At 44.9% G+C, this 26899-nt stretch overlaps 1 protein-coding gene across 5 annotated transcripts in view, besides 1 other annotated feature; it reads left to right on the top strand.

Annotated features, from left to right (window-relative positions):
* Window positions 1–26899, top strand: part of DNAH9 (dynein axonemal heavy chain 9) — a 371279-nt gene that overhangs the window by 315501 nt on the left and 28879 nt on the right. For 3 of the 5 annotated variants that reach the window (XM_011523703.3, XM_017024292.3, XM_017024293.2), the window contains 6 exons: window positions 9844–9971; window positions 15896–16123; window positions 18044–18235; window positions 19910–20101; window positions 23382–23552; window positions 26648–26692. In XM_011523703.3, the coding sequence (XP_011522005.1) occupies window positions 9844–9971; window positions 15896–16123; window positions 18044–18235; window positions 19910–20101; window positions 23382–23552; window positions 26648–26692 (956 nt within the window). The remainder of the gene's footprint in view (window positions 1–9843; window positions 9972–15895; window positions 16124–18043; window positions 18236–19909; window positions 20102–23381; window positions 23553–26647; window positions 26693–26899) is intronic. The other 2 variants (NM_001372.4, NM_004662.2) reach the window with 1 other exon arrangement.
* Window positions 14493–15065: an enhancer, noted in NCBI's record as "NANOG hESC enhancer chr17:11831780-11832352 (GRCh37/hg19 assembly coordinates)". NCBI's record gives its function as "activates a minimal SCP1, AML or CMV promoter by ChIP-STARR-seq in naive H9 embryonic stem cells {active_cell/tissue: H9 hESC(naive)}" and the evidence as "EXISTENCE:reporter gene assay evidence [ECO:0000049][PMID:30033119]".

Here is a 26899-nt window from a genome sequence, read left to right on the forward strand (position 1 = left end):
CATGCATGCCTAGTTTATGGGTTAATTTTTAAGTTGAAAGCCAATAAACAGCACATATATTCTAATATATGTAAATATATCATTCACTGCAAAGGCAAGTAATGTCTAGGATTACACTTCCTTCTTTTTGATCAAATGTCATAATCTTTAGGGGGTCTCTAAAAGAAGAATGTTCTTAGCACAGAGGTTCAAAACATGTCAAATTTCAGTTTGCTTTATAGGTGATGATAATTTTTGTAGCTTTTAGTTTTCTTTGGAGTTGCAAGTTGCCTTTTATTTATCTCAGGAGAAGAAGTAAATGCTTCACTTATCATTGTCACTACCTTTTTATTCGTTCTCTATATTGGAAAGACTGCACTTTATTCTTCTTGAAGATACTCTCCCTGGAGCTCACTGACATCTTCTTCTAATATAAATAAATTGTATTTCAGCCTTCTAGGAAGCTATCATCCTGGGACCTATTTTCTTTATATTCTAAATTAGTTCTACTGTCTTTATATCCCATGTCTTTTATTTTCAATTCTCCATCCTTACTTTGCTGGCATAAATTATCAGAAAAGACTCATGAGAAGTAAAAATTTGGAATCCTTGGGTGTCTAAAAATGCTTCAGTTTTGCTTATATAGCAGTTTGATAGTTTTTCAAGGTCCAAAATGGTTTTTATCAGAACTTTGGATACATGATTCTATTATCTTCTAGAAGCCAGTTTTGTTCATGAGATATCATATGCCAGTGAAATTATATTCTTTCTTTGTTTCTTTGTCGGTGACCTGTTTTTATTCCCCGAAAACTTTAGAATAATCTCTCTACCTTGTGTTCTGAAATTTCATAAGCTGTGCCTAGTTGTGGGTCCTTTTCATTCATCTGCTGAGCAGTCAGCCTGTCATTTCAAGTGGAAGAGTCACTAAAACTTTTGAGCTCTAAAAATTTTTCTGTTATATTTAGTAAATGCCACCACCATTTACCAAGTTTCTCATGCCAGAAACCTGGGTGTCAATCATCCTAGACACCTCTTCCACCACCCACACCACATTTAGTTCTATTGATTCCACCTCCTAAATATGCTTCAAATCCATCTAATTGTCTCTATTTTCATGATTGCCATCCTAGTCTGAATCACCATAGTCTTTCACCTGGCTTATTACACTAGCCTCCTAGCTCATCTCCACTCTTCTTCCTCTGCAAACCCTTGCCATTCTGCAGCCAGAGTCATGTTGCTAAATCTCAAATGTGATTGTATCACTCTTCTACTTAAAACTTTCTAGTGACTTCCCAGCTGGGTGCAGTGGCTCACGCCTGTAATCCCAGCATTTTGGGAGGCCGAGGCAGGCAGATCATAAGGTCAAGAGATCGATACCAACCTGTCCAACATGCTGAAACCCCATCTCTACTAAAACTACAAAAATTAGCCAGGCATGGTGGCACGCACCTGTAGTCCCAGCTACTCGGGAGGCTGAGGCAGGAGACTCGCTTGAACCTGGGAGACGGAGGTTGCAATGAGCCAAGATCGCACCACTGCACTTCAACTTGGCGACACAGAGACTCCATCTCAAAAACAAACAAACACAAACACACACAAACAAACAAAACAAAAAACTTTCTAGTGACTTCCCACTGGTATAGTCCAATATTAACATGACCTGTGTGGCCTGCATGGCATGGCTTTTCTGTCCAGCTTTTAGATCCTGTCACACCATGAGCCTTCCTAACCTAGGACATTGGCACAAATTGTTCTTTTTATCTGAAATATTTTCAACCATCCAATGCCTACTCATCCTGCAAATTACCAGCCATTTCTGGCCTCCCTGGAAGACCATTTGATTCTCAACTAGAGATTCTTACAGCACTCTATGTATTTGCTTCAGAGCATTTAATACAATTTTAATTTAATCATTCTGTTATAATTTTAACTTATGTTTTGCCTACCTGCTTGTCATTAACATCCTTGATGACCATGTCATCTTGTTCATTTTTTTACCACTGCCTAATAGCATAACTAGCACAGAGAAGTATTGTTGAATGAACTAACAAACGAACAAATTAATGTTAGCAGAACTGTTATCAGAGCTAAGTTATTCCTGACTTTCACACTTTATAGTCTGTGTTCCTTCTGTCCCCTGGAGGCTTTGTTCCTTTTATACAGATAAATTTAGTTTCCTCATTTTTATTCAGTATTTTCCCCTTTGGAAGCTTTCATATACCCTGTTTATGAGCAATTTCCTATTGTTCTTAGCCAATTGACCTCCAACTACTCCATCACGTAGTTTGCAGCTTCCTGTCATCTCAGGCAAACTGACCCCTCCCTGATCTATATGGGTTGTTTGTCTCAGAATACGTTATCTCAGCCCTGCCCTTGGCTTAATCTTAATGGATATTTTCTTACCAGAAGCAATATTGCTGTTCATCAACTAGAGATTACTTAGGCACCTGTGCCTCTCTCTCTCTTCCTTCCTCCCTGCCTTCTTGGTGCTTTGATTTATTTTCTAATTCACCCATTTAGGACATATATTCTGGTGACATCCACATTTCCCACATCTTGAATCTAATCAGCTTGCCTGATGGGCTCCTAGTCTCAAGTCTGGAATCCACATGGCTGATCTAAACATTTTCCCCATGTCCCCAAGCCCCAGTTTATTAAGTAAACTTACTGTTTTATTGCTTGTGCAGAGTCTGTGTATCACACAGTTCACTGTCTTCCTCCGTTTAGACTCTTAAAAAGCTTGGAATCATTTCTCCTCTTTGGGTATTTGATTTAAATTCTTTACTCCTTCATTTACGTATTCTTTTGCTTCAACAAGGCAGTTCTTAATATCAGGTAGAGTTTTAAAACCCCTAGATTCAGATTCAAGATTTGTTCCTTGGTCCTTCCTCCACCCCCGAAAAATGCACATACCCACAGACACACAACATTCTGTATACGATTTTGAGCATTTCTTCAGTCCCTGAAGTTTATCCATTGGCCAATTAATAATTAATAATTCCCTTGATTAGGAATCTATAATTTGTAGGCACTTTTGTGGCACTCAGTCTCCTCCAGGATTTTTCTTCCTCAACAATTGTGAAGGAGGAGGAGGGGAAGGAAAGGAAAGTGGAGAAAGAAGTGAGGAGGAGAAGCGGGGATGGAGTGGGGAAGGGGAAAATTCCATCCACTCTTCTTGGCCTCTGTTTTCTATTTTTTTGTTTTGTTTGTTTTGTTTTTTTGAGACGGAGCTTTGCTCTTGTCACCCAGGCTGGAGTGCAATGGCACGATCTCAGCTCACTGCAACAACCTCCACCTCCCGGGTTCAAGCGATTCTCCTGCCTCAGCCTCCCGAGTAGCTGGGATTACAGGCGCCCACCACCATTCCTGGCTAATTTGTGTATTTTTAGTAGAGATGGGGTTTCACCATGTTGGCCAGGCTGGTCTGGGACTCCTGACCTCAGGTGATCCACCCGCCGCAGCCTCCCAAAGTGCTGGGATTACAGACGTGAGCCACCACATCTGGCTGGCCTCTATTTTAACACGAAAGCTACCACCATCCACCCTCACTGTTTTCCTTCTTGCCTTCTCTGATCAAGCCTTTAACAGAGCTTTCACTGTACTCATCTCTCTTTTCTCATCATCTTTTTCCCTAAAGGAGCCACACTTCCTTATTTGCTTGTTTATTTCTGCTTTTGCTTCATCTACTTCCCCCTTGTTCTCAATCACCCATGATACCTGCCTCCTTGGGTTACTGTGAAGATAAAAACAAAATGTCAGATGTGAAAAGGCTTTGAAAAGCCGAGAGTACAGTAGCATTGCATGGCGTTACGATGAGGATGGTGCATCTGTTCTTTGGGGCAGCTCAGTTTGCCCTTCCTTCACATCTTTTTGTCACATCCTCTCAAAGAACAGTCTCCTCCTTGGCCCTCCCCTTCTTGCCCTGATGCCGGCATCTTCTCTGGTCTTTCTTTCACTTGTCTGCAGCATCATCTTGCTTGGTCTCCATCCTTCTTTGCCCAATTACCTGGCTTTAACAAAATGAGTTCTGTCTTTCCATTTTCTGATCAGAAAGAAGCTGTGTATCCCGCCTTTGTCTTCTACTGTCTCCTTTTCTCTCCAACGTTCTGAGATTTTTGTAGGCCTGCTACCAGATATGTTCAAAGAAACAGTTTTCCATTCAGTGTCTTTGCAGCCAGATTCTCGAAACTTTGCTTTGGGTCTTGTTTTCATTGTTCCTGACCCCATTCTTTTTTCTTGTATTTGGTTGGGTGTTTTTTTGTTTTGTTTTGTTTTGTTTTGTTTTGTTTTGTTTTGTTTTGAGACAGGCTCTCACTGTGTTGCCCACGCTGGAGTGCAGTGGCGCCATCTTGGCTCATTGCCACCTCTACCTCCCAGGCTCAAGTGATCCTCTTGCCTCAGCCTCCCAGGTAGCTGGACTATAGGCATATGCCACTATGCCCGGCTAATTTTTTGTATTTTTTGTAGAGATGGGTCTCACTGTGTTGCCCAGGCTGGCCTTGAACTCCTGAGCTCAAGCAACCTGCCCACCTCAACCTCCCAAAGTGCTGGGATTATAGGCATGAGTCACCACACCCAGCCCTCTTTTCTTTAAAAGGCAAGTAAAAGATAGATAAGCTGAGGCAAGTACAGTCTTTAGAGAGAGGATTCAGGATTCATGGAGTATTGTTTTTTTGTGGTGAGCGAAACTGATTTGTGCATGTGCTGGGGAGCAGAAGAGTGAATAGAGACAAAGGTTAAAGATACAAAAAGAGGGCCGGGCGCAGTGGCTCATGCCTATAATCCCAGCACTTTGGGAGGCCAAGGCACGCGGATCACCTGAGGTCAGGAGTCTGAGACCAGTTTAGCCAACATGGTGAAATCCCATCTCTACTAAAAATACAAAAATTAGCCGGGAGTGGTGGCACGTGCCTGTAATCCCAGCTACTTGGGAGGCTGACACAGGAGAATCACTTGAACCCAGGAGAAGGAGGTTGCAGTGAGCTGAGATCGTGCCACTGCACTCCAGCCTGGGTGACAAGCGAGAAACTCCATCTCAAAAAATAAAATAATAATAATTTTTAAAAAGATACAAAAAGAGATGGGATTTAAATGACAGTTAAAGTGACAGGCAGGAAGGGAGGAGGACATCTTTTTCATTGACAGGGCAGTGTACAGAAATGCAGACAAAATGGCAGTAATGGAGGCGTGTCCACCAGAGGGCATGTTTTTTCAGGGAATTAAGACAGTAGAGCAAACTGCTGAGCATAAGAAAAGGGGTTCATGGCGGGGCGCAGTGGCTCACGCCTGTAATCCCAGCACTTTAGGAGGCCGAGGCGAGCAGATCACAAGGTCAGGAGATCGAGACCATCCTGGCTAACACGGTGAAACCCTATCTCTACTAAAAATACAAAAAATTAGCCAGGCGTGGTGGCGGGCGCCTGTAGTCCCAGCTACTCGGGAGGCTGAGGCAGGAGAATGGCATGAACCCGGGAGGTAGAGCTTGCAGTGAGCCGAGATTGTGCCACTGCACTCCAGCCTGGGCGACAGAGCGAGACTCCGTCTCAAAAAAAAAAGAAAAAAAAAAAAAAAAGAGGGATCCATTAGGAGACATAATGACAGAGGGAAATGGGTAACATAGCCGGCTTCTGGACACATTGAAAGAGTACCAAAGCGCTTCGAAATTGAGAATCACAAGCTGGTGATGGTGCCAATTCACCAAACATGTGAATTATTCCTTTTATTAATACTTAAACTCAGAGTTGGGGTCTTAGAAAGTTGAGTAGTAAGTGCGGAAGTAGAAGGAGGCAATGGAGTTGAGGACTTGGGCTCAAATTAAGGATTATTGGGTCCATATTAAAATAAGAGGAGGTAAAGCTGAAATTAGAAAAAAACGAAGGGACCAAAGGACTCAACATTTCACTGAAGTAGAAAAATAGGTGGGGAAGAAATAAGAAGGTAAAAAAATTTAGGAAGTAGGAAGTGAAATTCATGAGTGGACATGGAAGAATCATGTTTCAGACACAGGACAGATCTCCATGATGGGAGAGCCCTGGGTGTGGCCACTGGGAATCGGCAGCAGAAATGAAATGGAGCTAAGTTCTTTCTTTTTTTTTTTTTTTTGAGACAGAGTTTCGCTCTTGTCGCCCAGGCTGGAGTGTGCAATGGCACAATCTCAGCTCACCACAACCTCTGCCTCCCAGGTTCAAGCGATTCTCCTGCCTCAGCCCCCTGAGTAGCTGGGATTACAGGCATGTGTCACCATGCCTGGCTAATTTTGTATTTTTAGTAGAAAAGGGGTTTCTCCATGTTGGTGAGGCTGGCCTTGAACTCCCGACCTCAGGTGATCCACCTGCCTCAGCCTCCAAAAGTGCTGGGATTATGGTTGGAGTTAAGCTCTTTCAAGATGAGGTTGGGCACAGTGGCTCATGCCTGTAATCCCAGCACTTTGGGAGGCCGAGGTGGGCAGATCACCTGAGGTCGGGAGTTTGAGACCAGCCTGTCTAACATGGTGAAACCCTATCTCTACTAAAAATACACAAATTAGCTGGGCATGGTGGCGTGTGCCTGTAGTCTCAGCTACTCGGGAGGCTGAGGCAGGAGAATTGCTTGAACCTAGGAGGCAGAGGTTGCAGTGAGCTGAGATTGCGCCATTGCACTCCAGTCTGGGCGACAGAGCAAGACTCCATCTCAAAAAAAAAAAAAAAGAAAAGAAAAAAGAAAGAAAGATGAGGAAACATGAGGCTGGGTGTTGTCTGAGTCATCCATAGTGACATTAGAGTTTACCAAGATGATGATGAAACAGGAACCAAGTTCCAAAGCCCCTAATACAAATGAGACTCACTGAAAAGTTGGTAGAAGGCAGAGAACTTAAAAGTTAGTAAATAATAAAACCAGATGACATGTGCTTTCAGTGAGAAAGGGGTTTTTAGTCGGGTGCAATGGCTCATGCCTGTAATCCCAGCACTTTGGGAGGCCGAGGTGGGTGGATCACTTGGGGTCAGGAGTTTGAGACCAGCCTGGCCAACATAGTGAAAGCTTATCTCTACTAAAAATACAAAAATTAGCCAGTCATGGTGGCGGGCACCTGTAATCCCAGCTACTTGGGAGGCTGAGGCAGGAGGATCGCTTGAATCTGAGAGGTGGAGGCTGCAGTGAGGTGAGATCGTACCACTGCACTCCAGCCTGGGTGTAATCCCAGCTACTCGGGAGGCTGAGGCAGGAGAATCACTTGAATCTGGGAGGTGGAGGTTGCAGTAAGGTGAGATCATGCCACTGCATTCCAGCCTGGGTGAAAAAAAAGAAAAAAAGGTGATTTTTTTTTTTTCTTTTTTATGAAGGTGGAGAAGAAATAGCCTCCAAGTAGCAAGAAAACACTAGAAAAAATGTTCCCCTTCCAACGCCAATGCCATAGGGGTATGGAACTAGGGAGAGGACTGTAGGAGTTGTGATGTCCTCAGAGAGACTAGAGGTCAGTGACGCACACCGTAAAGATGTTAAAAGAGGTTGACAGTGGGGCATAGTTCCAGGTGACACCACCATATGTAGAGCTGGAAGGAAAGTCAGAAAAGGAGAGATGAGTCACAAGCAGTAGGGGTGGAGGCATGGAAGCACCAGCATACAACAATCTGAAGGTGAAATCCTGAGACACTGGAGGGACTTGCTCAAGGCCCAATAAGCCATCTGAGAGCCTCACAGTTGCAAAGGGAAAGACCTCGCAAGGTTACCTCCGCACCCATGAGGCTCACATGGGATGCGGCCACCTTTGGCTGAGTGTTCAGTTAGTGAGAATCCCATCCATTTTTCCCCTTCTCAATGTTTCCAAGATCCATTTCTTTCTTCTCCGCCTCATTGTCATGCCTCAAGCCCAGATTAATGCAGACTGATCCCAGCCGGGCTCTGCAGTGCTAAACTTTGCCCGTGATGATCCCTCCAGTCTGGAATTTTCAAACTAATCTTTATTAAATAACCTCTTTGCCCATATCCTTCTGTTGCTAATAAACAAAATAAACAGGCCCTTTTGTGAGCAGAAATGTCACAGAAGACATCTAAAAGTCCCAACACTTTTTATCCTGGTATTTTCTCTGGAATGAATTGTTTATCTCCCCACTTCCAAAGCTGACATCAAATGTTTTGCCAACTAAGATTTATAATTTAATAACGGTGTTTCTTGGGTTCATCTCAGTTAAGTCTCCAATATCTATTTCTTACTACAAAAAGTCATCATCTTGCGTTGTCCTGTACATTTCAATGACAGTCTATACATTGTTTATATTTAAAAGAAATATTCAATATGAACACTTGTTTCCAAAAATTTTCTTGCAGAAGTATCAAACTACATCTTCACTTTTAGTTCCTCTGAAACTAAATTTTTTTTAAGTATGGATTTTTATTATTTCTTTTTCGATTTCTCCCCTTTTGTCTACTTCACCTTGCTAGAAAAATCACTTAATGATTCCTTCATGGTATTATACATTTTTATGATCCTTTTATCTAAAGAATATTATGTAATTTCTCTACACTTTATTGGATTGTGCTAAGAGCTAATGTTCTCTATATTAGGGTCATTTCTTTGTGTTGTTTCCCTTGGGCGTGGAGAGCAGCTGAAGCCCACTGGTCTTGCTTCAGTGGTATGGCTGCCACATTTGTGTGTGTGGTCATTCTCTTAATCCATCTGCAACACCAGCAACCCTTATATACATCCAACAGAAAATTCACACCTACACAACTAAACAGCTTCATGTCTTGCCCCTCTTCACTCTAATTCGTGCAAAATGATGAGATAACTCTTTTCTATGTGTTGGGAATGATAGGAGAGGAGGTTAATAGGGCATAAAGTACAGGAAGCCAGAACTACCTGAATCCTGCCCCTACTGGCCACACCTCCCAGTAAAGTTCCAGAGAAGACACAATATTTATTCAGAGGACAAGGCAAGCCACAAAGGACCACACCCATATGCTTGCTACTCTCTCACCCTTCTCTCATCAGCACTCCCTAGAATGGTGGACCCATATCTGGTCTGCAGATAAGACACATAAAGAATAGCATCAGCAATCCTACCCCTCTTTGGGAATTAAGTGAAGAGGGAAGAGTGAAGTGATTTTGGTCTGAACAAGTGCTTCTTTTTTTTTTGTTTGTTTTGGTTTTTGTTTTGTTTTGTTTTGAGACTGAGTTTCGCTCTTGTTGCCCAGGCTGGAGTGCAATGGCGTGATCTCGTCTCACTGCAACCTCCGCCTCCTGGGTTCAAGTGATTCTCCTGCCTCAGCCTCCCTAGTAGCTGGGATTACAGGCACCTCCCACCACACCCAGCTAATTTTTTGTATTTTTAGTAAAGATGAGGTTTCACTATGTTGGCCAGGCTGGTCTTGAACTCCTGACCTCAGGTGATCCACCTGCTGCCTCAGCCTCCCAAAGTGCTGGGATTACAGGAGTGAGCCAGTGGCGCAATCTCGGCTCATTGCAAGGTCCGCCTCCTGGGTTCACGCCATTCTCCTGCCTCAGCCTCCCGAGTAGCTGGGACTACAGGCGCCCACCACCACGCCCAGCTAATTTTTTGTATTTTTAGCAGAGATGGGGTTTCACTGTGTTAGCCAGGATGGTCTCGATCTCCTGACCTGGTGATCCGCTCGCCTCGGCCTCCCAAAGTGCTGGGATTACAGGCATGAGCCACTGCGCCCGGCTCAAGTGCTTCCTTTTATATGACAATAAAAAGCTGGAAGAAGTAGCCCCCTGTGAAGGAAAAGGGTCAGTATATGAGGTTTCGGTTATAGATTTGGGCATGCCCGTGTTTGAGGGGTGATCTGAGCGTGTGCATTTCCTTATGAACATCAAACATCCATCATTAGACACAAGAAATAATAATGACGCCTCCATCCTCCTTTTAGGAAGAAAACTTGGATACACCTTCAACAATCAGAACTTTCACAACGTGTCTTTGGGGCAAGGACAGGAAGTGGTGGCTGAGGCTGCGCTGGACCTCGCTGCCAAGAAAGGTCACTGGGTTATTTTGCAGGTATGTTCCTCTACCCTTGTCTGGGTTATCTTGACCCATACTTGCCTCATCCCACACTCACTGGGCATCTCCATCCACTCTTAGCTTCTCCCCATCTGTCCTTTCACACTCTTGTCCCCTTCATTTCTTCATCTTCTCTCTTTCCAGTTCTCCTCACTCATATGTTCTCTTCCCCAGACCACGTCCAGGAACAATCCTTCTCCCCTCACCTGCTCTGTCACTCTCTCTAGTTTAAATAGCTCTACTTATAAAAGAAACAGATTCCCACTCTAATAGGCGTTCAGGAAGTTAGCATTTACGTTGAAGGCCCTGGCAGCTGGATGCTTTCAACAGCTGGTTTCTTCCTGTGAATTTCATGGCACGTTCCTCTGCTGTGCCTTTCTTTTGGGCTGTGTGTCATATGCTCTTCGTCACGGGCATGACTAGGATATGGGAGCAACCTTAGCCTCTTCACTGAGAGCTCATGTTGGTGTTTGGAATCTGGAACCCCTACTACTGATAATTTGACTGAACAGTTACAAGGAAAAAAAGGCTACCTCTCTTCTATCAGAAAAGAGAGTTAAATTAAAGAATTTAGCCCTCTCTATTAACCCCTATTAAATTTTATTTAACCCCTATTAAATTATTTCATTTAACCAATTTTCCAATTTTCGTTTCAACAATTACTACTAACTCTTTTTTTTTTTTTTTTTTTTTTTTTGAGATGGAGTCTTGCTCTGTCGCCTAGGCTGGAGTGCAATGGCGCAATCTCAACTCACTGCAACCTCCGCCTCCCGGGTTCAAGCGATTCTCCTGCCTCAGCCTCCTGAGGAGCTGGGATTACAGGAGCGTACCACCACGCCCGGCTAATTTTTGTATTTTTAGTAGAGACAGGGTTTCACCATGTTGGCCAGGCTTGTCTTGAACTTCAGAACTCAAGTGATCTACCTGCGTCAGCCTCCCAAAGTGCTGGGATTACAGGCATGAGCCACTGCGCCCAGCCTAACTACTACTAACTCTTACATAGCATTTCACAGTAGACAAAACCTTTTCAAATCCATCTCTCAGGGCCGGCCTGCCTAATCCTCTTTTATGCCACTTGTATACATGCTGGAGTTGTGGCAGAATGCATAGCTTGCTCCTCTTTTCTCCTAGAACATTTTGAAATCTTCTATTAGAGCTCCATTGCTACGTTGACATGGTTTATTTTATGACTGTATTCTCCACCAAATTTTTTAGGTAAAGAGATGTTCCTTCTTTACCTTTTATCACCCAGCCCACTGCCTTGAACATAGCAGACACTGAAACAAAAGGCCGGTGGGTCAAGGAATCCATGAAGAAATTAAAGAAAGAATAAATGCAAAAGCCAGTCACTCCCATTCTTCCCGGCTTTCACTACCATGAACCTCCCCCATCTCCTGATTACTGGTGACATCACATCTTGCTGCTGGGTCTTTGTCCTTAATTATTCAGTTATTTATTTGGAGCCTAGCAACTGAGAGATCTGCCCCTCCCAGGGCCTCCTTTTCCAGAAACATCAGGAAGTTCAGGAGAAAAGATAATAACAGCTGAGTTTCCTCCTTCCTCCCTCATGGGTCAGCACAGTGCTTGAAGGTATGACCTCCCCACCCCCTCAGGCACATTTGCCAAGAGACTTCTCCGGACGCCAGTGCTGGGAACCCAGGCACTTGTCATGGACATCAGAGTCTGTTTCTGAAACTGTGGTGCCGCCTCTGCTGCCCCCGTTGTCCCCCAGCATCTATTGGCCATGCAGGGCATCAAAATCTTGTGCTGATGTGGTTGCTCAGAGCTCTCCAACACTGAACTCAATATTCCATCTTTATTTCCTGGTGACTGGACATTTCCAAAGGAAAATTGTGCCAAATAATCTGGATGCCTGCCTTTCCCCCTGAATAAAGCATTGGAGTATTGAATAGACGTAATCTGTCCACACTGTAAAGTGCTCACAGAAACAAAAGATCCTTACTGGTTTGTGAAATCTCTTGTAGGAATCACAGCTATCTGGTTCTAAGAATTTCCTGATGTACTGAACTAGACTGGACCAGAATCCTACCCAGCAATGTTTCCCAGCCTGTAAACCTGAGAGATTCTCTGAAAAAAAAAAAAAAAAAAAAAAAAAAAGCTGGGGGGGGAGGAATACACTTAACAAATTCCTATTTCAAATGTTGGAAAATACTACATACAAATTCCTTTTAAGGATATTTTCAATGATATCAATAGGCTAATGGTTCTGAGAATCCTTTGGTATAGAAATCTTATTCCATCCAGTATTTCCCAAATTCCGTTGAACACAGGCCTTCTTTTTTTTTCTTCAACTTTTATTTTAAGTTCTGGGGTACATGTGCAGGATGTGCAGGTTTGTTCCATAGGTAAACATATGCCATGGTGGTTTGCTGTACAGATCAACCCATCACCTAGGTATTAAGCCCAGCATCCATTAGCTGTTCTTCCTGATGCTCTCCCTCTCCCCCTATTCCACAACAGGCCTCAGTGTGTTTGTTCCCCGCCCCGTGTGTCCATGTGTTCTCATTGTTCAGCTCCCACTTATAAGTGAGAACATGCAGTGTTTGGTTTTCTGTTCCCGCTTTAGTTTGCTGAGGGTAACGGCTTCCAGCTCCATTCATTTCCCTGCAAAGGACATGATCTCGTTCCTTTTTATGGCTGCATAGTATTCCATGGTGTATATGTACCACATTTTCTTTATCTAGTCTATCATTGATGAGCAGTTGGGTTGATTCCAAGTCTTTGCTATTGTGAATAGTGCTGCTGTGAACATATGCATGCATGTATCTTTATAATAAAATGATTTATATTCCTTTGGGCTTATACCCAGTAATAGGATTGGTGGATCAAATGGTATTTCTGCTTCTGTATCTTTGAGGAATTGCTACACTGTCTTCCACAACGGTTGAACTAATTTACACTCCCACCAACAGCATAAAAGGGTTCCTTTTTCTCCAAAACCTCACCAGCATCTGTTGTTTCTTGACTTTTTAATAATCGGCATTCTGACTGGCGTGAGATGGTATCTCATTGTGGTTCTGATTTGCATTTCTCTAATGATCAACGATGTTGAGCTTCTTTTCATATGTTTGTTGGCCACAATGAATATCTTCTTTTGAGAAGTGTCAGTTCATGTTCTTTGCCCATTTTTTAATGAGGTTGTTTGTTTTTTTGCTTGTAAATTTGTTTAAGTTCCTTGTAGACTCAGGATATTAGACTTGTGTCAGGTCTAATTGCAAAAATTTTCTCCCATTCCATAAGTTGTCTTTTCACTCTGATGATAGTTTATTTTCCTGGGAAGAAGCTCTTTAGTTTAATCAGATCCCACTTGTTAATTTTTGCTTTTGTTGCAATTGCTTTTAGCATTTTTGTCATAAAATCTTTGCCCATGCCTATGTCCTGACTGATATTGCTAGATTTTCTTCTAGGGTTCTTATAGTTTTGGATTTTATGTTTAAGTCTTTAATCTGTGTTGAGTTAATTTTTTATAAGGTATAAGGAAGGAGTCTAGTTTCATTTGTTTGCATATGGCTAGCCAGTTCTCCCAGCACCATTTATTAAATAGGGAATCCTTTCGCCATTGCTTGTTTTTGTCAGGTTTGTCGAAGATCTGATGGTTGTAGGTGTGCAGGAACACAGACCTTCTTTATGGATCTAACATCTTTTAACATCCCATGGCACACTTTTGGGAAATGCTGCCTGAGGACCCTGACCCAGATGAACTAGGGCTTCTCTTCTGGGAGAGCTGGCTTCTCTGGTCCTGGGTGAGAAAGCAAGGCTCACAGTCTTCCCGCTCTTCCTTCCTGGCTGTAGGAGCTATTGTGTGGATTTCCCAACCCAAGCCCATCAACCCTGTGGGGCAGCCTCGAGGATCTCTGAATCCACCCCAGGGTTCTATACACAAGCAACAGACATTCCTTCTCCTAGACCTGCCCAGTAGCAGAACTTGGAGTTTCTAAAGGAGCAGCCAAATTACCCACATGTAGGTTGCTGGTGATGCTGGCTAAAAGAAACCCTGGCTCTCAAGTAGCCCACTAAACACTCTGCTCCAATTGATTTGATTATAAGTAAATTATTTAATTTCACCAATTTTCATCTCAACAACTACTACTATCCCTTACATAGCATTTTACAGTATACAAAATCCTTTATTTATTTATTTATTTATTTATTTATTTATTCATTCATTCATTTATTTATTTATTTTGTAGAGATGGGGTTTCACCATGTTGGCCAGGCTGGTATTGAACTCCTGGCCTCAAGCAATCCACCCGCCTTGGCCTCCCAAAGTGCTGGGATTACATATGTGAGCCACTGCACCCAGTCCTACAAAACCCTTTCAAATCCATTTCTTTGGTTATCTGCAGCCACTCTGAAATAAGTATAGCAAACGTTATTGTTATTTCTCTTCTTATAGAAGAGAAGGCAGCACTCAAAGACCAAATTACTGTGGTCCAAGTGCTGGGCTCAGCTCTGATCTGTGTATTTAAGGCTTTGCATGCTTACTTCCTCAAATATTTATCAAGGAGCTTTTATCTATCCATTATAATGAAACACATTGCAATGAAGCCGGGTGACTCCCCTTACTACAGTGAAAGGTGCATTCTGCAAAGCACTGGTAAGAAACAAATGTAGGTTTTGATAGATAGACAGACAGCAATCAAACGTTGGGAGGAGGAGACAGGCTCAAAGACCAGACAGAGGAGCTTGGGATTAGAGTAGAGAGCCTTGTTTGGTCTTTGAGCAGCAATGACTCAGTGTGTTTCAGGAAGATAAGTTTGGCAACAATTAACAGAGTGGTTTGGAGAGTGGAGAGAGAAGACTCAGGAAAGCTAGCTAGAAAGAGTTTAAATCAGTGCCTTTCAAATGTTAACGTATGTACCAATTACCGGAGGATCTCATTAAAAGGCGCTGATTCAGTAAGTTTGGGCAGGACCTTAGATTCTGCATTTCTAACTAGCTCCCAGGTACTGCCAACAATGTTGATCCATGAGCTCCAATTTGTACCATCAAGGTTTCAAATAATCTAGCTGTCAGGTAATGGGGAGTTAGACTTGGAAGATGACCAAGTGTTACAGCCTTTTTTTTTTTTTTTTTTTTTTTTATTTGAGACGGAGTCTCACTCTGTCGCCCAAGCTGGAGTGCAGTGGCGTGATCTTGGCTCACTGCAAGCTCCGACTCCCGGGTTCATGTCATTCTCCTCCCTCAGCCTCCTGAGTAGCTGGGACTACAGGCGCCCACCACCATGCCCAGCTAATTTTTTGTATTTTTAGTAGAGACGGGGTTTCACCGTGTTAGCCAGGATGGTCTCGATCTCCTGACCTCGTGATCCGCCTGCCTCAGCCTCCCAAAGTGCTGGGATTACAGGTGTTAGCCACCGTGCCTGGCCGTGTTACACTCTTAAATTGTGGTCTCCAGACCAGTAGCATCTGCATCACCAGGGAGCTTGTTAGAAATGCACATTCTCAGGCCCCATCCTGGACCTGCTGAATCTGAAACTCTGGGCTGGGGCACAAGAATCTGTATTTTAAGAAGCCCTTCAGGTTATTCCCATGCACAGGCAAGTTTAAAAACATTATGCTGGAAAGCCTTAGGATAGCAAGAGATAAGAGTTTAACTGCAGAATACTGGGAGGTCCTCACTACTGGGCATCCCAGAACTCTTTTCTATGATGTGATTTAAGACACTTCTGCCATTAAAAGTCATTGAGTTGCACAACATGTGAGTGCACGTAACGCCATTAACTGTCCACTTAAAAAGGGTTTCAGATGGTAAATTTTCTGTTACGTCTTACCACAATTTTTAAAAATTATGTGATGCTAAGACCAGTCCCCCCTCTGGCTGCCTTCCTGACAACTATTTACTGCTAACAGAGCTAAGCAGATGCCTGTATTGAGGGGGGGCTCCTTCCTTCCCACTAGAACATTCACCTGGTGGCCAAGTGGCTCAGCACCCTGGAGAAGAAGCTGGAGGAGCACAGTGAGAACAGCCACCCAGAGTTCAGGGTCTTCATGAGTGCAGAGCCAGCACCCTCCCCTGAGGGCCACATCATCCCCCAGGGCATCCTGGAGAACTCCATTAAGATCACCAATGAGCCCCCCACGGGCATGCATGCCAACCTGCACAAGGCCCTGGACAACTTCACTCAGGTACGGCCCCGGGAGGGAGGCAAAAACAGCAGCACACCTCACAGTCAGCTGATGCAAACTGGTGGGGGGAGAGCATGCAACTCAGAAGGGAGTCGGGTGCTGGTTGGGCTACGGAGCAATGCTGATGTGGGTAAAATGTTCCCACCTGATGCCCACTCAGGGCAACCCCACTCTCCATTGCCAGATAACCCCAGGGGAGTAGAGCTCAGGACATTTCTTTGGCAAGAGATGTGGGGAAGCCTTCTGCAAGTTTACTGTTACCTAATATTCCAAGATGAAGAAGGGCACGTTGTTATACATCTCATTGATAAGATACACTGGGTCACACACTGATGGGCTATCTTCAGGCAGAGAGATGATACTGTCAATCAGATGATATCACTTGACGTCTACATGAATCTTGAGTATCAAGGGTTCAAAGAATCCAGGTGTTAGGTAGTGGGGATATGGATTTGAAATGTAACTGCATGTTAGACCCCCTAAAGTATGGCCCCTGGACCAGCAGCATCAGCATCACCTGGAAACTTGTTAGAAATGCAGATTTTTCTGTCGTCCCAGCTACCTGGGAGGCTGAGGCAAGAGAATGGCGTGAACCTGGGAGGCGGAGCTTGCAGTGAGCCGAGATTGTGCCACTGCACTCCAGCCTGGGCGACAGAGTGAGACTCCATCTCCAAAAAAAAAAAAAAAAATTGCAGATTTTTAGGCCCCAATCTGAAACTCTGGGCTGGGGCCCAGGAATCTGTTTTAATGAACCCTCCAGGAGATTCTTATACACAGTCAAGTTTGAGAATACTGTGCTCCAGAGAGACTCAGAATATCAAGTGTTCAAATGCAGACCACTACGTTTCCATTATGGGGAATTTCAAGGCTTATGTTGTAGCGTATTTATTTGAAGCCAGGTCCAAGCCCGTGGTGGCCAACTTTGTATATGAAGTTGTACTGTCAAAGTCTGCGGCCCAGGCCTCTTTGATCTTCTCAAGAAGGCACTATTTCTTTTTGGTTCTCTCTTGGGAGTTCCACCTCCCTGGGCAGGAGAGTACCCAAAGGCCTGAATTGTAGCAGAGTGGAGGCCATCGGATCACCTTAAAATCCATCTGCCACACCACGCCTGGGTGGAATTCAAGGAGAGGGTTCCAGCAGCTGCTAGGGAGGTTTTCTTCTTGGTTGTCATCTTGTCATAGTACCAGTGCATCTCAGGTTTCCCAGAAGCCCTGCCAGCTCACATGTGTCAGATGGGTCATGCAGGTTATTTGAGATGGGCCATCCAACAGGATGACTGTGCCACCTAAACCAACATAAACCTTTGGGGTCTGGTTTAAGCCTAAAGTAAGATGAAGACCATGTAACAGTCAGAGTCTCAGAAGATTTTACTGACTGTGTGACACCCTTGTAGTGTAGGAGTCCAGCAGCCCAACTCTGGGCGGGAAGCTTCCACAAAGATTCAAGGAGCAAAACACATTCAGTACCCCCTGTACTCTTTTTCCCAGCTTAACTCCCAGGCAGTGATTACACCTGCTAAGGTTCCACAACAGGCAAGAAAAGCATGGTAGGAAGGGAAGATATTAGAGATGGTGCCATGGCATGTGCACCCACACCCCACACCCCGGTACATAACATTCTTATTGCATGTCACCCTGATCCCCATCAGCTACATTAGTGAACTTTATTAGCACATCCGTATGCATAAACTTGAACCCTAAACCAAACCCTATTATCACCTGAATCTAAACCTTAATTCAATGCTCAGCTAACCTGACCCTTCCACACGTTCCCCCCAGGCTGTAGTCTCGCTGTAACTCAAACCCAAACCAGAATATATGGTAATGTTTTCCAACACGAACCCTGATTGTAACCTCACCCTAGCCAGCCCCGTATAAGAGAAGTTGTGTGCGAACCTTAAAAGCGACACTCTCATTTCAGGACACTCTGGAGATGTGTTCTCGGGAGACGGAGTTTAAGAGCATCCTCTTTGCTCTTTGTTACTTCCATGCGGTGGTGGCAGAAAGACGAAAATTTGGGCCCCAGGGATGGAATCGCTCATACCCCTTTAACACTGGAGACCTCACTATCTCTGTGAATGTCCTCTACAACTTCCTGGAGGCCAACGCAAAGGTAAAGGCCATGGACATTCAGGGACCAGCCAGGTTGGGAGAGGGTTAAAATTATTTAATTTTGAGGGGTGAATCAGAGGGGTCTAGGATGGGGCCTGAGAATGTGCATTTCTAACAAGCTCCCTCGTGATGCAGATGCTGCTGATTCGGGGACCATAATTTAAGAGTGTAACACATGGTCATGTTCCAAGCCCCACTCCCCATTACCTGACAGCCAGATTATTTGAAACCTTGATAGTACAAATCGGAGCCCATGCATCAACATCATTGGCAGGACCTGGGAGCTAGTTAGAAATGCAGAATCTCAGGTCCCACCCAAACTTACTGAATCAGCGCATTTTAACGAGATTCTCTGGTAATTCGTATGCACGTTAAGGAGGGATGATGCAGTGCTATCCTACAGAAGGGGCATGAGCACACAGAAGGGCTGCACCCCACACAGGTGGGATGAGGCAGTGCCAACCCCAGGACTAACCCAAAGGCTGAGAATAGTACAACTGTGAGGTGAGAGCCATGGACGCTCAGGAAGTCTAACTAGAGACTCACACAGTGAGTCAGTCCCATGAGAGTTTGTCCCGGGCCCCACCAGACCATACCTATGTCTTCACAGCATGGCAGGTAGACTGTGATCAGCAGGAAGAGACTTCACACTCGCCTGATATAAGTTCCCAAACTTCGCTAACAATCAGTGCTCTTCCAGTTAAGGGAATATTCACCTCGTCAAGGTTATTCTAGTTCAGGAGCCAAACACAGAGTCAACAGGGCCACCACCTCTTCCTCGTGGGGAAAACGAACCAGGCCCAGATGCCCTGAGAAATCCTTCTGTCTCCAGCCCTTGGGCCTGGGAAGCCCACTCAACAGTAATCTTTCATTGCTGGCTTTCCTCCAGTGACCTCCCTCCCTAAGTCTCACACCAATGAACTTGTGGGCTTTGTTTATTCCCTTTGAACTTTCAAAGGGGACAGTTAATCTTGTCATTAAAGGCAGAAAATTAGAAAAGTACTCTGGTCCTCACTTTTCTCCATTTGACATTCACCTATTTAAAGAATTTCTAGGTAGAGCCTGCCTTCACTGTCACAGTTAAAAAGCTTGAAAGAGGGAAGGCATATATATATGGGGCGTGGGGTTGGCAACTTTCCTGTCTTCACTCTTTGATGTAATTCTTCAAGCTTTTTTTTTTCTTCTTTTTTTTTGAGATGGAGTTTCGCTCTTGTTGCCCAGGCTGGAGTGCAATGGCATGACCTCAGCTCACCACAACCTCCGCCTCCCGGGTTCAAGAGATTCTCCTGTCTCAGCCTCCCGAGTAGCTGGGATTACAGGCATGCACCACCACACCCAGCTAATTTTGTATTTTTAGTAGCGATGGGGTTTCTCCATGTTGGTCAGGCTGGTCTTGAACTCCCAATCTCAGGTGATCCACCCGCCTCGGCCTCCCAAAGTGCTGGAATTACAGGCGTGAGCCACCGCGCCCGGCCTTCTTCAGGCTTTTAATGAACTCCCCAAACACCCCTAACCCTGCTGGGCACTGAGGGTATGGAGAAAAATAAGACATTGCTCTCAATCTCAAGAAGCGTCCCTCTCTTGTGGCTTTCTGTGCTGCCCAGATGGGAGGCCAGCCCCGACGCCTGTGTGGAGGTCTTTCTTCCTTCCTCTCTTTCTTTCCCCCATCACTCAGGTCCCCTATGATGATTTGCGCTACCTGTTTGGAGAGATCATGTATGGAGGCCATATCACAGATGACTGGGACAGAAGACTCTGCAGAACCTACCTGGGGGAATTCATTCGACCAGAAATGTTAGAAGGAGAACTGTCTTTGGCCCCAGGGTTCCCACTCCCAGGCAACATGGACTACAATGGTTATCATCAGGTGAGACTCTGCTCTGTGCTTCTGATGTCGTGAGGGTGCTCACAGGGCCCTGGGTATTCCTCCCACGCCGACCTGCACCACCAGGGAAGCCTCTGCTGGGACATCACCATGGGCTGCAGGCAGGGGCTGAGGCAAAAGGGCTTAGACAGCTGAGCTCATGTCAAATCTGGTCCTATGCCCCAAGCCTGCCCTGTTTAAGTTGAGAGATACGGGATTTCTAGCCTCAAATTAATAATCAAATGGAGCCTTTGGAGATCTTTCGATTCTTGATGATTGGTTCAGTCATTCTGTGTGTTGCTGTTTTCTACAAATAACATCTGGGACAGTTATTTGGTTGTTTTCACTTGGGATGTTGACAAACCCATTTTTTTTTTTTTTTTTTTTTTTTTTTTGAGATGGAGTCTTGCTCTGGCGCCCAGGCTGGAGTGCAGTGGCGCTATCTCTGCTCACTGCAAGCTCCGCCTCCCGGGTTCACGCCATTCTCCTGCCTCAGCCTCCCGAGTAGCTGGGACTACAGGCGCCCGCCACCAAGCCCGGCTAATTTTATTTTTGTATTTTTTTTAGTAGAGACGGGGTTTCACCCTGTTAGCCAGGATGGTCTTGATCTCCTGACCTCGTGATCCGCCCACCTGGGCCTCCCAAAGTGCTGGGATTACAGGCGTGAGCCGCCGCGCCTGGCCTGACAAAGCCGTTTTTCATGGAGCAAAATTTCAGGCAAGACCTTAGCCAACTTTTGGTAAAGTTTCTGTGGGTGATTCTAAATATCCCTGGAGGAGCATGGTCTTGTGCCAAGATCACTCAGGTCACTCACCCCTCCCACTCCGTGTTGGTGGCTATGAACACAGGCACATACCGCATACGTATGCCACAGTCAGCATTCTCATGAAGGCTTTCTTTTCTTTTCTTTTATGAGACGGAGTCTTGATCTGTCACCCAGGCTGGAATACAGTGGTGCGATCTTGGCTCACTGCAACCTCCGCCTCCCAGGTTCAAGCTATTCTCCCTGCCTCAGCCTCCTGAGTAGCTGGGATTACAGGCCCCCACCACCACACCCGGTTTTTGTATTTTTTAGTGGAGACGGGGTTTCATCGTGTTGGCGAAGCTGGTCTCGAACTCCTAACCTCAGGTGATCCACCTGCCTCGGCCTCCCAAAGTGCTGGGATTACAGGTGTGAGCCAGCACGCCCGGCCTCATGGAGGTTTTCTTACTATTACTTCGGTCTTTTATGTTACTATTACCACAGCTATGTTTAAAGTATTCATCTTTGCCTATTTCACCTTCCATGGAAAACATTCCAAAAGATTTTTTTTTTTTTTTTTTATAAGACGGAGTCTCACTCTGTCACCCAGGCTGGAGTGGAATAGCGCGATCTCGGCTCACTGCAACCTCCGCCTCCCTGGTTCAAGTGATTCTCCTGCCTCAGCCTCCTGAGTAGCTGGGATTACAGGCGTGCGTCACCACGCCCAGCTAATTTTTGTATTTTTAGTAGAGACGGGGTTTCATCATGTTGGTCAGGCTGGTCTCGAACTCCTGACCTCATGATCCTCCCACCTCAGCCTCCCAAAGTGCTGGGATTACAGGCGTGAGCCACCGCGCCCGGCCCGAAAGATATTTTTTAGCAGTTTTTATTGGTAGGCTTTTGAACATGCCTAGAAAAACTCTTGAATATAAAACATAAGGGAAATATTGATCACAGGAATATTAACTGCAAGCTTTAAAAAAATTTCTTTAATTCATTAAACTTAAGGGTAAATCGTAAAAGTCATTTGATCCAGAAAAATTGGACCTATAAGAGGAGATTTAAAACAATAAAGCTCTTTAAGGAAAATAAGAGGAAATGTTTTTAACTACTTCACCAAAGGCAAAAAGGCTTTTCCCGGGAAAATTGTGCAACAGCGTCCCCTAGTGTCCATGGGATAATTCGACAGGAGGCTGGAGCAAGTAACAGGCAAAGGAAGTCTGTTTTTCTTATTCAGCAAGGGTGAAATCGATTTGCACATTTCCAAATGACTGAGGTACACTCTCTTTCTTATACTTCTCTTTAATGTGTTAGTTAATAGATGGTTCTAGGGCATCTACATAGAGTCCAGGCCTGCACAGAACGCTGGAGGAAATACAAAAATGAACATACAGATCGGCCCTTGAGGAATGGGCAATCTATTAGGCTAGGTGTTAATAACACCAAGGAATCGTCAAAATCATATCAGGAACGGAACTTGAGGGATATTTTCCCACCATCGTATAAAGAGCCATGAAGAGGCGCTCAAAACATTCAGAGCCAGGCGCGGTGGCTCCCGCCTGTAATCCCAGAACTTTGGAAAGTCAAGGCTGGAGGATCACTTGAGCTGATGAGTTAGAGACCAGCCCAGGCAACATAGTGAGACCTCATCTCTACAAAAAATAGAAATAAAAAATCGGCTTGAGCATGGTGGCATGTACCTGTATTTCCAGCTACTTGGGAGACTGAGGTGGAAAGCACTTGAGCCTGGGAGGTGGAGGCTTTAGTGAGCTGTGTACTCTACTGTACACTACTGTACTCTAGTTTTTTCAGCAGAGTGAGAGCCTGTCTCACACACACACAATAAAATAAAATAAAATAAAACTGAGCCTTAGCCGCTGGTTAGGATTTTTAGGCATTAGGCATGGCAGACTCTAGCCACTAGCACTGGCCACAGAAAGGAGCTGCTAGGGTGACACATAGTTTCAAAATTTTTTTTATTTGAATACCTTTCACCAGGGGCGCAAACTCTCCAGTTCGCAGCCAATCTCACCTCCTTCGTCCTAAGCCCAATTCACTTGTTTATTTTGCATGTGCCATCCCATGTACATGTTCAGGTTTGTCATATCTGATTTAGATGGAGGGGAGAGAAAAGAAGGAAAGGTCTGGAATCCTAGAAGAGCTTACGTAAAATCACTAGGGAGGGATTCGTATTTTTGAAAGACTATGAGAAGTCCTCCTCTGGTCTGCAGGAAAAAGAGTCATCAGGGAGGAGTGGGAGGCATTGGGTGTGGAGATAGATAAAGTCATCTAAGCCTCCCAGAAAAAAGAGAATGATAGAATGAATGTGGAAGTTTTGGGAAACGGGTCCAGCCGACAAAAATGGATGATGTCAAGGTGCACTAATAGGTGGAGAGGGTGATGAAGTCAACCAGGGATGGTGAGCAGTGTCCCCTGGAGGAGGGATACTAGCCCATGGACTCCCTGCAGAGGACAAGCCGGTGTGGGAGATGGGAGGTACGTCCTGGTTTCTTTTTAAGTGAGCTTGCCCTTGATTTTCAGTACATCGATGCTGAGCTGCCCCCAGAATCCCCCTACCTCTATGGCCTCCACCCGAACGCAGAGATTGGCTTCCTGACCCAAACCTCAGAAAAGCTCTTCCGCACTGTGCTGGAGCTGCAGCCTCGGGACAGCCAGGCCAGAGACGGAGCGGGCGCCACAAGAGAAGAAAAGGTGTGTGTGGTGGGGACTGCCTGAGGTCGTTCTGGGGGACCCCGAGGATCATAGATGCACACCTTTCTCCTGCTGGCCATTTTGGCAGTACACAGCATAGACAACACACAAAGCACCAACCACCTGCAGCCTGGAGATGCTTGCCTGTCACCGCCAAGAGCCTCTCCCCTCCCGTCATCACCATGCTGGCCATCAGTTAAATCATAGGAAGTCCCTGCCATTGGGTTCAGCAGTTTTCTTTGCCAGTCCACCCAAAGTCCATTTTTATTCAGCTTCTCTGCCAAAGTGAAGAAAGGGCAGGGCTGAACAGTGGTGGCTTGGGAACCTTGAATGTGACTTCTTGATCCCCTGGCAAACCAAGCAAGGATGGGTAAGGGGTTGCCCCTGAGCACCCCCACCTCAGTTCACCAACCAGATGCCAGTGGGGAAGAACACAGTCCTTCATAATGCAAACGCCTTCCCTTCGTGTGAATGGCTTCTAGTCCGAGAGTCTCTAAATACACAGTTACCTGCCACTAAGCACAGGACTTCCTGAAATTTTAGGAAGGTGGAAGGGAATTATGGAGTAGAAAGGCAGACCAGGGTGAGGTGTGGGTTTCAGGACAACCCAAGGCAACATGGGGGCTCTGATCCTGGTGTGGGGGTAGCTGAAGATAAAGAAAGAATGGGCCTCACACCTGTAATCCCAGCACTTTGGGAGGCCAAGGCGGGCAGATCATGAGGTCATGAGTTCGAGACCAGCCTGGCCAACATGGTGAAACCCCATCTCTACTAAAAAATACAAAAATTAGCCGGGTGTGGTGGTGGGCGCCTGTAATCCCAGCTACTCGGGAGACTGAGGCAGGAGAATTGCTTGAACCTGGGAGGTGGAGGTTGCAGTGAGCCAAGACCGTGCCACTGCACTCCAGCCTGGTGACAGAGCAAGACTGTCTCCAAAAAAAAAAAAACAAAAAAAGAATGGGCCACCAAAGGGAAATTTCTCCATGAATTTTTTTCTGAGACAAGCTAACCAACTTCCTAAAGATGTATTTGTACCAACTGACATCCACCCCATGGTACTGCCTGGATTTTTTTTTTAATTTAATTTTTCTAAGAGTAAGATTTCACTCCATCACCCAGGCTGGAGAGTTCAGTGGCATAATCACAGCTCACTACAGCCTGCAACTCCTAACCTCAAGCAATCCTTCCACCTCAGCCTCCTGAGTAGCTAGGACTGCAGGTGTGTACCACCACGCCCTGCTAATTTTTTAACTTTTTGTAGAGACAGGGTCGCACTATGTTGCCTAGGCTAGTCTTGAACTCCTGGGCTGAAGCAATCCTCTCATTTTGACCTCCCAAAGTGCTAGGATTATAGGTGTGAGCCACTGCACCCGGTCCTAGCTGGGTTCTTTAATTTAGAGATGCCATTAGGTTTACAAGTAAACATCCTTGGGAAGATTATCAAACTTTTAGCCTCTAGAGACTGATTTTAGGAAAGCAAACTGATACTAAAAGAGTTGGACTTTTATATAAAGGTATGGAGTCATGTCATCAAAATAGTATTTCTCAAATTTTAATATGCCTAAGAATGTGCCAGAGAGATTGAAATTCTGACTCCGAGGTCTGGGGTTAGGTTGCATTGGCAACCTAGTGATTTTGATGAGGTGAGCATACTTCGAGAAAGCTGCTCCATATCACTCTACTCAGTCTATTCCACTATTTGATGTATAATTTGAAAATAAAGAGAAGAACCCACCCAGAATGAATAATGTTCCTAGATCTAAAACTGGAAAAGGCTGAGACTGTATAAGTAATAGACTTAGAATTCTTCAGTCAAGGTTCAAAGAAGGTTCTAATGCTTATCATTTCCTTATCCCCTCCCCCAGCTAACCCAAGAAATGGGGTGTGTATGTGCTTGTGTATTTCAGAAATGATATGAACTGTGATCACTTGCCATGCACAATGCTGTGTGGGACACGTGTGCAGGTTACTGGGTGCACATCTGATTGTGCAGTATCCCAGTATTTGGCCATGGTGGTGTTTCTCACATAGCTCACATGTTCCTATGAGCTATCTTCCTTCCTGTCCACACCGCAGGTCAGCTCAAGATGAGGGGCAAAGAGTCAAAGCCCAGAGAGTATTTTGTTGTTAAGAAGTAAATGACCGAGAGGTTGTACACTCCACATACACTCATGAACTCTTGACTCAATTCTGTTCCCATGTTTACATCTATATGAAGGGAAGCTGGGGATTTTAGTATATAGCTAAAGAGAAGGAGTGAGAAGGGAGGTTGGCATGTTAGATACATGGATGGATGGATGGATGGATGGATGGATGGATGGATGATGGGTAGATGGGTGATGATGGATAGATAATTGATGGATGAATGGATGGATGGATGGGTGATGGGTAGATGGGTGATGGATGGATAGTGGGTGGATGGACGGATGATAGAGGAATAGAGTTATGTACACTGAAGGGCATCTGCAGGAATATATACCAAAAAACCAATAGTTGAACAGTGTTTTTCTCCCACAGGGGGAAGAGTTAAGACTATAGGAGGACTTTGCTTCTAATATCATGTGTATCAGAAATGTTTAGATTTTTCTGATAAGCATTTATTACTTTTCCAGAAAGGAAGAAAGCAGAAGTGTTTGTCTGTGGAAATAAGGTGGACTCCGTCCCTTGGAACCCACTCCTCCTATCTGAAAGAGTCTCTGGGTTCCCTGAGCAAAAGAGGGGCCCCGCATACGTCTGTGGACCTGGGTCCTTCCCTATCAGCCCTCTCCCTCCTCAGGCCCCCACACCCTTTACAGCCTAATCAGAGATGAACCAGAACTCTGTGTCCCCACGTCCTGTGTATTTTGGAACAATACCTCCAGACGATCTTTTCGTCTCTTTGTAAATAATGTCCAAATGGAAGCTCGCTGATATAGAGCTGTTTTTTCAAACTCTGCTCCAGAGAAAAATATATATATAATTTTAGCCATTTGTCTTCTACCCCAGCAGCTGCTCTCAGGTACCATTAAAATCCGATTCCAGTTTTTGCTATGACAGCACCAAAGACCCATTCGTGACAGAGTGATTGGTTTTTACTTTCTTTTTTCTAACATCAGCTCTTTTCCTGGAGATGGCATTGTGTGTTAACAATACAAGGCAAGGTGAATATTTATCATCCTTTACACTTATATAGTTCTTCATAGCTTTCAGAGACTGCCACACTCATCAGCTCATTTGATTTGATCTTCACATCAACTCTGGGAGTTGGGAAAGGGGACAAGTGGAGAAAAAGACACTCTTGGAAGTGTTTACAGCTGGAGAAAATTGAGGCCTAAGTAACTTGCTTATGTTCACATGGGTAATGCAGG

This window comes from Homo sapiens, chromosome 17 (genome assembly GCF_000001405.40).
Source record: "Homo sapiens chromosome 17, GRCh38.p14 Primary Assembly".
Lineage (NCBI taxonomy): Eukaryota > Metazoa > Chordata > Mammalia > Primates > Hominidae > Homo > Homo sapiens.